The sequence below is a fragment of the Homo sapiens genome, chromosome 9, assembly GCF_000001405.40.
Source record: "Homo sapiens chromosome 9, GRCh38.p14 Primary Assembly".
NCBI lineage: Eukaryota > Metazoa > Chordata > Mammalia > Primates > Hominidae > Homo > Homo sapiens.
The window spans coordinates 63,575,386-63,591,262 of record NC_000009.12 but is presented as its reverse complement, the minus strand read 5'-3'; the positions used below and the strand labels follow the sequence as shown (position 1 = coordinate 63,591,262).

The 15,877-nt window shown below is 34.2% G+C and overlaps 1 pseudogene; it reads left to right on the top strand.

The window, feature by feature from the left end:
- RPL7AP46 (ribosomal protein L7a pseudogene 46) lies at positions 9,408–10,009 on the top strand (annotated as a pseudogene).

The following is a 15,877-nucleotide window of genomic DNA, read 5'->3' as shown; positions in this document are numbered from 1 at the left end:
AAATTATTCCATGCTCATGGATAGGAAGAATCAATATGAAAATGTCCATACTGCTGAAGTAATTTATAAATTCAATGCTATCCCCATCAAGCTACCATTGACTTTCTTCACAGAATTAGAAAAACCTACTTTAAATTTCATACGAAACCAAAAAAGAGGTTGTATAGCCAAGACAATCCTAAGCAAAAAGAACAAAGCTGGAGGTATCATGCGACCTGACTTTAAAATATACTGCAAGGCTACAGTAACCAAAACAGCATGGTACTGGTACCAAAACAGTTATGTAGACCAACAGAACAGAACAGAGGCCTAAGAAATAATGCCACACATCTACAGCCATCTGATCTTTGACAAACCTGACAAAAACAAGCAATGGGGAAAGGATTCCCTATTTAATAAATGGTGCTGGGAAAACTGGGTAGTGGAAAACCGAAACTGGATCCCTTCCTTACATCTTATACAAAAATTCACTCAAGATGGATTAAAGACTTAAACATAAGACCTAAAACTATAAAAACCTTAGCAGAACACCTAGGCAATACCATTCAGGACATAGGCATGGACAAAAACTTCATGACTACAACACCAAATGCATTGGCAACAAAAGCCAAAATTGATGAATGGGATCTAATTAAACTAAAGAGCTTCTGCACAGCAAAATAAACTATCATCAGAGTGAACAGGCAACCTACGGAATGGGAGAAAATTTTGCAATCTATCCATCTGACAAAGGGCTAATATCCAGAATCTACAAAGAACTTAAACAAATTTGCAAGAAAAAATACAAACAACCCCACCGAAAAGTGGTCAAAGGATATGAACAGACACTTCTCAAAAGAAGACATTTATGCAGCCAAAAAACATGTGAAAAAAAAGCTCATCATCATTCGTCATTAGGGAAATGCAAATCAAAACCACAATGAGATACCATCTCACTCTGGTTAGAACGGTGATCATTAAAAAGTCAGAAAACAACAGATGCTGGAGAGGATGTGGAGAAATAGGAACACTTTTACACTGTTGGTGAAAGTGTAAATTAGTTCAACCATTGTGGAAGACAGTGTGGTGATTCTTCAAGGATCTAGAACTAGAAATACCGTTTGACCCAGCAATCCCATTACTAAATAGAAAAAGGATTATGAATCATTCTAGTATAAAGACACATGCACACGTAGGTTTATTGCAGCACTGTTCACAATAGCAAAGACTTGGAACCAACACAAATGCCCATCAATCATAGACTGGATAAAGAAAATGTGGCACATATACACTATGGAACACTATGCAGCCATAAAAAAGGATGAGTTCATGTCCTTTGCAGGGACATGGATAAAGCTGGAAACGATCATTCTCAGCAAACTAAACAGGAACAGAAAACCAAACACCGCATGTTCTCACTCATAATTGGGAGCTGAAAAATGAGAACACATGGACGCAGGGAAGGGAACATCACACACTGGGGCCTGTCAGGGGGTGGGGGGCTTGGGGAGGGATAGCATTAGGAGAAATGCCTAAAATAGATGATGGGTCGAAGGGTGCAGCAAACCACCATGGCATGTGTATACCTATGTAACAAACCTACACGTTCTGCACATGTTTCCCAGAACTTAAAGTATAATAATTTTTAAAAAAGAGTAAAAATTTTCACTTTTGAAGAAGTTCAAGTTAATATTTTATTTTACAAATTAAATGTTTAATGTCATATACAGCACTTATTTGTTTCAACTAAGGTCACAAAGATTTATCTTATGTTTATATCTAGGATTTCAATACATTCAGGTTGGCTTTTTATTAATGTTTATATATTTTGCAAGCTATGAATCAAATTTGTTTTTCTATTGCTTATAAATACCCAACTGTTTTACATTTCTTGCTTTGAAAACTCTTCCATTTCTTCAAAGCTGATACTTTCCCTAATGAATTGATTTGCTATTTTAAAAAAAGATATTAACTATATGTGTAAATCTGTTTTTGTATTTTCTATTCTGTTCTGTTGATCTATTTAGTCTTTCTTTAGGACAATATCACACAGTCTTGACTATTTCAAAATCATGAACATGGTATATCTCCCCAAATTTTATCTTTTATTTGAGATATCTGGAAAGCATATAGGTCTAGAAGTTGAAATTTGTTCTACCTATATTAGTTAGTCTTCAAGTAGAAATGATGATGGAAAAGATTGCAGTGATCAAAATTACCTAGGGAGAATGTATAGCACGAAAGAGTAATAAGCAGTTCATGCAGATCTCTGATTTAGCTTACACACCTAGAGGAAGATTAAATGAAGATCAATTTGCAAGTGAATTTAAAATTTTGTGACAAAATTTTAGGAGCAAAATTAGGACACCATGGTGTTACAGAATCTAAAGAACTATTTTGAGCTGCTTTTGAAAAATAAACATAAAAGTTACCAATCTGTATGACTGACTTTTGCAACACTTTCTCATTGAAAACACATATTCTACAAAAAAACATTATTTTTGTAACCTTATCATTTGGGACTCACTTTATCTAGCAGATCTAAGTACTTATACGTTTTTACGTATGTTCCCATCTATAAATTATCTGTTATATTTTCAATGATATTTTCTTCTTCTAATAAAAGCATGCTCAATTTTAACTATTTGTCTTAACTTATTTTGGAGATTCAAGGTACATTTTGTTGTTGTTTTTATTATTTTATTTTATTTTACTTTAATTTCTGGGATACATATGCAGAATTTGCAGGTTTGTTACATAGGTATACATGTGCCATGGTGGTTTGCTGCCCCTATCAAACCATCATCTAGGTTTTAAGCTGCATGCATTAGGTATCAGTCCTAATGCTCTCCCTCCCCTTTCCCCCCACGCCCCAACAGGCCCCACTGTGTGTTGTTCCCCTCCCTGTGTCAATGTGTTCTCGTTGATCAACTCTCACTTGTGAGTGAGAACATGCGGTGTTTGGTTTTCTGTTCCTGTGTTAGTTTGATGAGGATGGTGGTTTCCATGTTCCTACAAAGGATATGATCTAGTTCTTTATATGGCTGCATAGTATTCCATGGTGTATACGTACCACATTTTCTTTATCTAGTCTATCACTGATGGGCATTTGGGTTGGTTCCATGTCTTTGCTATAATAAATAGTGCTGCAATAAACATATGTGTGCATGTGTCTTCATAATAGAATGATTTATATTCCTTTGGGTATATACCAAGTAATGTGACTACTGGGTCATGGGATTTCTGATTCTAGATCCATGAGGAATCTCCACACTGTCTTCCACAATGGTCGAACTAATTTTCATTCCCACCAACAGTGATTCAAGGTATTTTTGATGGGTTGTTTGTTTGTCTATTTTGCATTTCATTTGTTTTTTTAAAGGGAGAAAATTTTGGGCTTAGGGAATACCATAATGCTTTAAACTTCGAGCTATTTCTTCTCTTTTTTCCTCAAATAATGTCATTTTGTCATAGATCTCTGAAAATGCCCTTGAAAACTTCCCATAAAAATCAACAGAACTTACGATGTTCAGAGCATAAGAAATAAATGTCACCTTACAAGATTCATCAAAATGAGCTTAGATGAAATTTTAATTGCCATACTCAAGCCACTTAAATAGTTAACCAAGACATTCTCCCTTGTTTCTACAGTGATACACAGTATTGAAAATTGCTTTGACTGCACACTCAAATTATTACAATTCAACTTTCTTCAACATCATAAATTGAAAGGATATCATGTGGATATTTGTTGTTCCCAATTAGGATTGAAAATAACTTCTGGCCAAATTAGTAGTATAGAGACTTATGGAATGAAGTCAATTTAAAACAGAATTTTTTTGAGTTAATGGTAAGAAAGAGTTTGTTGCAATAAAATTCTTTGAAATTTTAGATATGAAATTGGTACAAAAACTTATTACAAATTCATCTACCTGATTTTTTTTTGTGGCAATGTCATAAATAATAGAAATATGGTCTCATCTTTCCTAAATATTTTGCTCACGCTCTTTGAAAATATTGTAAAATGTACTTAAACTACATAAGAATCTTCTAGTAAAATAAAATGCAACGTTTCACTCAGAAGTAAAACATTTTTAAAATAGTGTCCAACAATTGCTTCAAGAGGGTGACAACCTATGAACACCCTGTTCTAAGTGTTTCCACCCTAATTGGTTTCTTTTTTTTTTTTTTTTTTGAGACAAAACCTTGCTCTGTTACCCAAGCTGGAGTGCAGTCGTGTGATCTCGGCTCACTGCAACCTCCGCCTCCTGGGTCCAACGGATTCTCCTGCCTCAGCCAACCAAGTAGCTGGGATTAGAAGCAACTGCCACAATGCCCAGTTAATTTTTGTGTTTTTTGTTTGTTTGTTTGTTTGTTTGTTTTAGTAGAAGTGGGTTTCACCATGTTGGCCAGGCTGGTCTCGAACTCCTGACTTCAAGTGATTCACCTCCCAAAGTGCTGGAATTACAGGCATAAGCCACCATGACTGTCCTCCCCTAATTCGCTTCTTTAATCCTCTCTACATCATCACAAGATGGGTGTTACTATGATCACTATTTTACAGGTGAGCATATGAGGAACAGAGAGGTTAAGGAGGAACAGGGTGATCTGCTACAACTCTTCAGCAGAGCATTCTGGGCAGGACTGTCTAACTTGTGAGAGGCAAGGGGACTATTTATAGCCTATGTATTCCCGTTAAAGTAACAAACATATATCAAGAATAAATATTACAGTATATTTCTAGCAACCATCTAGAAATAGGAAATAGTATCAGTACCATATTGTCAGATGACAGTAGGATTAAATAAAACCAGAGTGACTAAGTAACTGACCCTTTATTCACTGCATTTAAAAGAAAAGTATGTCTTGGAGTTGAATTAAGTAACCTGGGATAGATCTCTAAAAATCTGTAAGTGAAGCAGGGGTCACATATTAACATGTTATACTAGAAACAGTGTCTAAGAAAGGAATTTGGTACTGGAATCTACATAGGGAACAATTAAATTATCCATAAATGTTTTTTACTTTATCTTGAAAAAGGTATAGTATCCAAAACTCCAGAAACACTGCTAGACCCTCCATAATACGTATGGGCTCTAAGATAAGAGTGGAAATAGAGGCCCACATGACATGTGTATAAATATTTTAACATTATAAAGCAACCTACTCCAATAATCTGACCTGCATTTCCACCTAGGTTCTCAATGGCCCACTTCCTGACCACCACCCTCTGGAGTCCAAAGGAGATTTGCTTATTCCCAGTGTTATTCCTGCAGGTCAGCCAAAGAGGAGCAAAGAGTCATCTACCTCAATCATGTTCAGGAAATGATCAGGTCAAGATGTGGAGTGAGCAAGCTTTTCTCTTTTGTGCCACATTTTCTGACCCAGCATTTCAAGGTACTTCTAATACACAAAGACTATTACAAGAGGGAGGAAGGAAGGAAGGTCAGTTATCTGAAGAACTGAGGCTAGCTAGAAGCCCATATTTGCTGTGATGGGGGCCATCAAATCTCAACAGAAACAGCTTTCTCTCTCTGTTATCCTGGACAGGGCTTGTGATTTTTTTTTTTCCTCCACTCAGCCATAGACTCTCAGCTACATATCCTCTAGCCTGGAGTAGTCAAATCAGCTCATCTCTTTCTCTCTCATACCAAACTTTCAAAAACGAAACAAAACAAACCAAAAAACACTTTTGTTATTGGAATAAATGAGAAAAATGTATTTGTGTTTAAATATCTGTGATACATGGACCATCAAAAGCCTCACTGCTAATGAAGGCAATTATTTAGGTTTACTTAATCTATTAACTTATCAGTTAATAACTGCAATTTATTCTGCTAGAAATTCCCAATGGTATAATTGTTTCTGGCTGTAGCTCCTTCCATGCTTTGTACATCTTACTTGTGGTAGGCAGAATCACAGCTCTCCACAAATGATGTGATTTGGCTGTATCCCCACCCAAATCTCACCTTGAATTGTAATAATTCCATATGAAGAATGGGGTCAGGTAGAGATAATGTAATCATGGGGACGGTTTATCCCATGCTGTTCTTGTGGTAGTAAATAAGTTTCACGAGATCTGCTGGGTTTATAAACGGGAGTTCCCCTGCACAAGCTCTCTTGCCTGCCACCACGTGGGATGCGACATTGCTTCTCATTCGCTTTCCACCATGATTTTGAGGGCTCCCCAGCCATGTGGAACTATAAGTCAGTTAAACCTCTTTCTTTTATAAATTACCCAGTCTCAGCTGTGTCTTTATTAGCAGTGTGAGGACAAACTAATACAACGGGTGTCCACATTCTAGTCCCCAGAATTTGTGAATATGTTAGTTGCATGGCAAAGGAAAATTGAAATTGTAGACTAAACTAAGGTTGTTCATCAGTTGATATTAAGATAGGAAAGTTATTCTGGATTATTCTGATAGGACCAAAATAATCAGAAGGACATTTACAAGTGGAAGGAGGCGGAAGAAGTTAGAGTGATGAGATGGGAACTCACAAACTGCCATTGCTGGCCCTTTAAAACAATTTAAATCTTGTTTTATGACACATAATTATTGTACATATTTATGGGATACAGTGTGATGTTTCAACACGTGTATGTATAGTTTAAATATTGAATCAGGATATTCAACATATTCTTCACTTCATACATCTTTGATATCTTTACGGTGAGAGAATTCAAAAATCCTCTCTTCTAGCTATTTTGAAATATACAATACAATATTGCTAACCATAGTCACCCTGACTCCATTCCTCATTTTAAAAATGGAGGAAGGGACAGTGATTAAAGGAATGCAAGCAGCCTCTGGGCTGTGGAAAACCAAAGGAAACGAACTCTTCCCACAGAACCCCCCAAGAAAAAACCAACCCTGGCAGTATCTTGGTTTTAACATGGTGTGATCAAGTCAGATTTCTGTCTTACAGAACTGTAACATAATAAATCTGTATTGTTTAAGCTACTAAGTTTGAAGTAATTTTACTAAAACTTGAAAGGAATTTACATTTTGCTTTTAAAGTTCTTTATGTTTGAAACTTTAGACAGAGATCAACAAATCCTCAACAAGAGATAGCTCAATTTTTACCTTTGAAAAAGGAATTATGTTACATATCTATAAGAATGAATAACTACAGCACAGAAAAATACTCATAAGTAATATATTATTTGAAATCAGGAGTCTAAGAAGAGAAAATGCAAATGGACCCTTTTCTATGAGATTTAGATAAATTACATGAAAAAATATGTGTGATAAGAGGTATGTGTTCTGAGTTAATACATATACTTATAAAATCTGAAAAAATTGCAACAGGAACAGTAAATATGGAAATTGAAATCACAAAAAAATCAATGAATTTGAAGACCATTTGGAGAAATGCTTATATAATCTTAAGATTAATTTATTCTAATCATGCACCAGTGATAGTATTATAAGAAGAAATAAATTCATTATCATTTTTTACTATATTTATTTTTTAAGACAGAGATTGGTACTAATTCAGTAATGGAAAACTAATTGTAAAATTTGTACTGTGGTAAATTTGGAAAACAAGGCACGGCACAGAAAGAGTATATAATAAAATCATTTGGCATAAAGGCCATTTGAAATGGATTAATTATAGTGATGAAACATGTCATCATTTCCTGGACAAGTAGGGAAAATAGGCAATGAGAAGGCTATGGAGGAGAGAGAAGAGAGTAGAGTCCATAGAGTGACAGTCTTCAACAGGTTAAAAACCTGTACGAGTTCAGGTCTTGAACAAGTGATATTGGATGAAATGGGAGGTAGAGAGGACCAAAGAGTAGGATATTTTATTTTTTTTTTTAATATTGAGAAACATTTGCTGTCTAATATAGAGAAGAAATGTTATTAACTTGCATGGTGGTCAAGAAACTGCCAGGTAAGATTTGAAAGAGTTATCAGTTTGAGGTAAGCACAATAGAGAATAACGACAGAATTTATAATGGAGAGAATGTCTTTGAAAGCCAAAAGCAAAAGTTTTCTTAATAGAGGAAGAAACCAAACAAAGGTTTGAAAAAGCATTTGAATGGAAAGTTTGGTGTAGATGTACGTTATGAACCATAAACTGTCAAAGTTTATTGGTGATGCTTGCTGGTTTATTTACTTGTTGGTTTTCAGAAGGAAAGAACTATAATAGACTGATAACTACAAATTAACTGAAATTGTATATACCCTGCCTCCTCATGATTAGGCAGGTGAAGATGGGGTGAGCAAAATAGTAGCAACCCATTGAAAGGGCTGTTGAAGGGGTTATATTTTCCAGACATATCAGGAGTTCAAGTTGTTATTAAAAATGCAAAAAGAGTTTGCTAATCAGAACATAAGCATTCAATATCTATCACTATCAAGATGTGAGATAAGGGATAGGTAATTGATTCTGTTGGAAAAGCAGAGTCATATAATGATGAAAGTCTGATAATACCTCTGTGACTTGAAAGTGACAGAAGTAAACAGGAACATGAAGCAAAGAGTTTTAGTTCTGATAGTCTCTTTGAGGAGGAGGAGTAATGGCACTATTGTCATTTTTTGAATACTTCCCCTAGTATTTTTAGTGATTTCACAAATCGTTCTAATGCCTTAAAGGACTACCACTCTGGAATATCACTCAAAGCAATGTTCTTGTGAGGATTAGGCTTAATGAAAAGTTCTGTAATGCTTGGACACATGGAAAGCTGACCAGTATTAGATAAAACAAAATTGTTATAGTTGGGAATTATTACTATAGGTATTTTCATCATCATTTTGCAACATTTATAATTTTTTCTTAATGAAATATGTTGATTTTTCAGTGTTTTTAAAGTAAAATTGTATTACATTTAAAAAATTAATAGAGAATTATTCTGTTGAAGACAATGAATGCATATTATGCTTAACATGTTAATATGTGTTTCACATTATTTATAGATTTTGTCTACTGCATTGAAATTTGCTAGAATGCTGCATATGTACAGCTTAATGTAATCACTTCCTAACTATAATCTCTGGAGCCAACCCAGTTACAATAAAATTAACTCTAATTTTGTGTCTTTTATTTGTTTCTACTTCTAGGTTAAATATGGTTTGAGAAAAGTGTTTTAGAAAACTTTGAAAAATCACTGGCTTGTTAAAATGCATGTTCTATTAAAAGATATGAGTCCTATCTCCGGGTTACTTAAAATATTAGTTTTACTCCAAATTGTATTCTAGTTTCCCTATCTTTAAAATATGTTCATGAAACATTTCTCTTCTCTTATGAAGTTAAATGTTCTTTTAAGTTTGAAATTTATTAGAGAACTCTGATATATGATTTTTAAAAAATAACACTCTGAATTACTTTCTAAAATGGAAAGCAACCCTAAACAAAAATATATTACCAATATTCAGTTTTACCTCTGGCTTCAACTTATTTTTCTCTCAAGATCTTATTATTCTCTTCTCCAGCTACCCAAGGTGCAAAAAGGAAAGAAGGCCAAAGGGAAGAAGGTGGTGCCCACCCTTGCTGTCTTGAAAAAGCAGGAGACCATGAAAGTGGTGAATCTTCCATTTGAGAAATTTGGCACTGGACAGGACATTTTGGCATTGGACAGAACATCCAGCCCAAAAGGGACCTCACTTGCTTTGTCAAATGGCCCCATTATACTAGGTTGCAGCAGCAGAGAGCCATCCTCTATAAGCAGCTAGAAGTGCCTTCTGTGATTAATCAGTTCACCAGGGCCTTGGACCACCAAACAGCTGCTCAATGGGGTAAGCTGGCTGGCAAGTACAGACCAGAGACAAAGCAAGAGAAGCAGCAGAGACTGTTGGCCTGGGCTGAGAAGAAAGCAAAGGAGACATCCCCACTAAGAGATCACCTGTCCTTTTAATGGGGGTTAATGCTGTCACCACCTTAGTGGAGAAAAAGAAGGCTCAGCTGGCGGTGACTGCACAGGACAGAGATCCCATTGAGTTGGTTGTCTTCCTGCCTGCCCTGTGTTGTAAACTGGGGGTTCCTTACTGCATTATCTAATGGAAGGCAAGCTTGAGACATCTAGGATTAAAAAACAAACAAACAAACAACAACTCTTAAAAATATTCTTTTAAAACTTCTAATTATTAGGTATTTTTTTATCTCTTCAGTACATTAAAATGTCTGGTGGTAGGAAAATACTGGACTCATATATGACTGTCCACGTGATTTGCAGGGCCCAGTGCAAAATGAAGTGGATGTTGTACCTCGTTCAAAGTGTTAAGCGTTTCAAGATGGCAACAGCAGAGCATTAGGCCAAGTATGAGGTCATTATGTACATGGGTCCTTGTGTGACCACACAGGTCACAGGAACATGAAGCTAGACTTGAGTGTATATTCAGATAGGTAAATCTTACAGATTTTTAAAACTCAATAAAAGAAAAACTACATTTCATGTGTGAACACAAAAATTGGAATTAAATTGGCAATAGCATTGGGATTTGTGCTCAGAGTCACAGTTTATATCTGACCACAATTTCTATATGAATTTTTTAAGATAAAACAGTAAGAATTTTAAAGAAGGTTTCTGAAATTTAAAAATTATAATAACAAAATTAACTTTGATATTTTAATTCCATGTAATTTAAAACATTTAATAGGTATATAATGTTCCACTATTAACTTAACTAGAAGTATAAAAATAAAACATATATAATAAAAATATTCTACTTATTTTTAAATTATCTATAATATACCGAGTAAAAGAAAATTTAGGAATATAAATAAATGGGGATTTTTGAACATGTAAAAATATTTTCTTGCTGTTTTTAGGAGACTTTTAGCAGGACAGGAGCTTACCTCTCATCTACCTCTGCTTGGACAAACCAGTGATGTGATTTGCAAATAGGTTGTAACTTCACAGAAAGCACATCACAGTAAAGAAAGGTAGTGACTTTCAGAGAATTTGACCTAAGTTAGAATTTGTAAAAAAGAAAAGCATTGTCCTTATGCCTAAAGTACATGACTGTTTCTTTTTAAGTTACATGTATATTTACCTGCCCAATTTGTTTTACTCTGTATTTCAAGTTATCAGGTGAAATGGTCTTGGAATAAATTAATGAGTTATTTGTTCTGAATAAATGTGCATGTTACAAATGCAAACACGTGTATGTATTATACAACTATGCAGCTTCAAGAGCTGACTTATTTCTATCAGCTTTTTATTCACTTTAAAAAATCAGGCTACTGAAGCATATTAGAATTTAATTACACCAATTAGTACTGCCACATCAGACATATGATGTGCCTTCAATTAAGAAGTACCTAATGGGTATTAGTACAATTTAGCTTCATAATTAAAGTTCTAAGAACAGCACAAATTAAACATTATGATTACAAAACATTAAAAATCTACTGGTGAAATTAAGCTGAATATTTTAGCTTCTCCTTTTGAGCTGATTTTAAAAAAGAAAATCAAGATTATATAAAATGCAATGTTATTATTGAAGCATTCTGAATTTCAAAACAGAAATTAAGCTCACATGCCCATAAATATGTGCATATATAATGATTAAATGTTTAATAAAATACCCAACCTAACACTTGTGTCATCTAATAAGCACTAAAGGTTATCATTTTGGAGTTTCACTTGATTGGGTTTTTTTGTTTTGTTTTGTTATTTTCATAGAAATATTTGATATATGTGGTCACCACTCACAACTCTTGCTTCAGTGAGCATGGATGACAGGCAGCCCCAGCTACTGTTTTTCTGGTTGTATGACTATCTTTGCACTCAGACCATATTTTCTCTGGCTGTTCCTGGCCAATGACTGAGCATGCTCGGAGTATTGATGAAGGCCATTTTTAAGATTTGTGATAACCTTCCAACAGAAGACTTTGGACTGGAGACTCCTATTGTCTGGGCCAAAATTTCCTAAACTGTGTTTCAGGCTGTGACTCTTTCATTCTCATCTTTCTTCCTTCTCCCCCTCCTTTGACAGAAGCCAGGCTTGCATCACTGAAGACTCCCTGCACTTAGATCTGCTTTTTCTTCTTAATCTTTAACTAATGTTCCTCTCATAACCTTTTGAGTGACTTATAATTGCATAGTATCAGCTTCTTGGAAAACCTGACTTGATAAACTATCCTATTTGAAATACAGATATATACGCATTTAACAATTTTTGACATTATTAGCACATTGAGTATTAAATAGTATCTGAAGAGAGATACCTTTAAAAATGAAAACACCTTCCTATTGGGGTTTTCTTCAAAACAAATAGATTATTTTTAAAAAGATTACAACTATAGCAACTTCGGTCTCTCCTGTTTTATCTACTAGAGTGATTTGCTTCCTCTGCCTTTCTTAAAGTGACTGGTTAAAATGTTTTAGCACTTAGCAGTTTCTTCCTAGTTTTGCAGATATGGCCCTGAAATGGCTTATGAGTAAGGCAAATAGAGGATGTTCTTACTGGGCTAGTGCTTTTATTTCTCTCTTTTGCTTGTTCTATTTTTTAAGTGAAAATGGCATTAGCATCTTATTTGTCAGGCTTTCATTTTCGTGTTTGAGAATTCCACTTGTAGATAACCAACAGCTATAACCTGTTCAGGTCTCTAAAAAATATAGCTTATTGAATGAGCAGTCACACACAAGAAATTCCGTTCTTCCCGTAGTCCATCATGCTTTACCCGTATTCAGCTTCTCACTTCTGTATCTAAAAATACTAGATTTTATCATTCTACTTTAAAGTTTCTTTTTTTTTTTTTTTTTTACTTTTCCTAAAATACTCAAATTTCCATAAAGGAACAAGGGATAAAGCTTAAGCATAACTTCAAAAGAGACATAAGCGGGGTGAACAAGATCCAAACACAGGTTCTCTTGTTGTAAAGATAGACCTTTAACCATGTGCAATCTGTCTATTAAGAAAATAGAGGACTCTAAACACAAAATTAAGAGTATAGTTGTCTCTGTGTGGCTGAAAAAGAGTGAAAGATAACTGCAAAATTATTGATACTGTTCTTATGCTTAAATTGGGTTGTGTGCTTACATGTGTTCATTATGTTAATATGTCTCATAGGTTAGGTATCTTAATCAAATATGCAGTTATATAAATACGATACACTGAGATAAGATAACTAGCAACACATTGAAACAAAAAACAAGAATAGGATTGAATACTGTCACGATCTTTATAAGGCCTGGCCTTTCACTATGTAAATAGATATCTTTTAGTCCAAGAAATCACAGAGCTTACACATTTTTAGGAAAAGAAGAAAAAATGCATAGAATAAATTAATTTTATGTCCTGTAAGCAAAAGTCTACTAAGGTGAATTCAAAATACCCCATAACAGCAAAAAAGAATGCATTCAGAAGTCCTAAATCTATAAACAATAAAAATAGTTAAGCACATAGAATTTACTTAAGTTCAAAAGCATCATGTTCATTAGACTTATATAATTCTTGTAGCGTTTAGTACATCCTGGATAATTCTTATTCCCATTATTTATTGCTAAGCACATTGAAATTTCACATTAATAATATTATTATTTTTTAACTTTCGTTTGTATTGTAACTGTTGGTTTTAACTGATGAAGATGCAAAACAAAAATAAACATTCAGGTAAATAACTATTTTCTAGAAAGATCCAACCTGTAAGCTAGCAATATGGTTTGATTCTTTATTTTAAAGTTATGTTATTATAAGTATATAAGCAATTCAGATAATAGATCCTGAGTTATGATGCATATCGTATTTGCATAAGCTTAATATATTTTAAAGATAACCAAAAAAGATAATGTATAATTAAAACTATAAATAAACACATTACTCAACATAATTACTCCTTAAATATTCAGTCCATTTAATATAGGTCTTTGCTGCCGTAAATGAACTCCCATGAGCTTCTAGAGAGACTCGTTTTATTAAATGTTATAGTCTCTGGCTCTGACCAATCATAGCGCTATAGACACTGTTATAAACAATGTAATAAGCTGCTAAAAAAGCAAGAGGTATTTTTTTAATTTTTGGAATTTGATTTTATTATCATGTTTTCATACCCACACAAAATAATCAATACATTAACATACAACCATCACACATATTCAACAATTATCATAATTTTGTTGTTTCTGCTTAAGGTGTCCCTGTTCTCTTCTTGCCAAATTATTTTAAAAATATATCTCAGAATGTAATTTTATACCTACATACTTAAGGATATATCTCTAGAAAATGCAGATATTTAGTAATACATTTTTGCACAGTTAATTTATTTTTCTTCAGGATCTCAATTCAAATATTGTTTGTTATTAAAAAACTGCCTCTAGCATATGTTTTACTATACATTTAAGAATATAATTTGGAAAAAAAAGTCTGACACATAGTCCATGTTCAATTTACCTCTTCAACTAATCTACTAAAAGGAAAAAAATGACACCAGTACTTCTTACTCTTCCCTGAAGTTATGTTATGATATTTTTAGATTTTGAAATCCAGTAAAGTGTGCCCATTATTGATTTCAAGTACATGTTTCCTAACTCATTTCAATCTCTTCTATAATCAAGTGCAAGAGAAAATATAAAATAGGCCCTATGATTGTAGAAATAAAAGTGGAAAAAAACTAGCCTAGAGTTCATAAAAGTAGACATATAAAAATCTTGAAATGATAAAGGCCATAATCAATTAATTGAAATTAAAATTATTCCTTTGAGTTATTTTTGGGTATTCTTCCAATTTTAGTTTTTTTGTTTGTTTGTTTGTTTGTTTGATGTTGCAAATATCACAGTGTATGCCTTCTTTTTTTTTTTTTTTTGAGACAGATTCTCACTCTGTCACCCAGGCTAGAGTGCATTGGCACGATCTCGGCTCACTGCAAGCTCCGCCTCCCGGGTTCACACCATTCTCCTGCTTCAGTCTCCCGAGTAGCTGGGACTACAGGCGCCCGCCACCACGCCCGGCTTATTTTTTGTATTTTTAGTAGAGATGGAGTTTCACCGTGTTAGCCAGGATGGTCTCGATCTCCTGACCTCATGATCCGCCCGCCTCAGCCTCCCAAAGTCCTGGGATTACAGGTGTAAGCCACTGCGCCTGGCCAGTGTATGCCTTCTAAAAGCAGAGTCTGTAGAAAATATATATATAAATGGTAACACAAGCATATAAAATAAAATGTGGCAATTACTATTCAATGAAAAATACAGGGACATTTGGGAGAGCATAACAAATAAGGGATCAAATACGTGCTGAGATAAATACATTTTTGTTACATGAGTCAGGAGTTAAAGAAATAAATGAAAGATGAGAGATTAGGATATAAAGTATATAGGGTGCCAGTTCATATAACACTTTACATTAAAGGAATTTGAGCTTTTGTTTGAAACAATGGAAGCTATTGGGAGTTTTAAGGGGATTGATATGAAGGAGGTAAAATAGGAGTCTATAGCACTAATCTAAAGTGGTAAGTGAATGGAAGTCAAAGCTATTTAGTGGAGTAGGTTGAACCAAAATTGATGACTAAGTACGTGGTATCTAAAGGAAAGGAAAAGTTTGAGTCTTGGGTATCTGGCATGCATAGTATACTAACAGTGATATACACAGTTACTTTCAGGCTCACTGAATGAGTAGTGGTCAATGAAATACAGAACAAAGTCATGCAATTCACTTTCAAGTTGTGTTCTTGAAACTTCCCATGGCACCCATGAAGATTTCAAGAGTCATTTGTTATTATATCGCATCTTGACTAATACCAAGTTGTTAGAAAAAAATGAAATACTATTGTAACAATAAGCTAAAATAAGTGGTATTGTCTTAACAATGAGAAAGAGCATGAGGAAACTTAAGATCATAGATGATGAAAACTGTTTCCCCTATCCCCACTCCCAAGAAGGGAGAGGTTGGGATTATACAAAGTGATTAATCTATGTGTTCTTCCCAGAAAAAAAAAAGGCAGAGTTTAATCA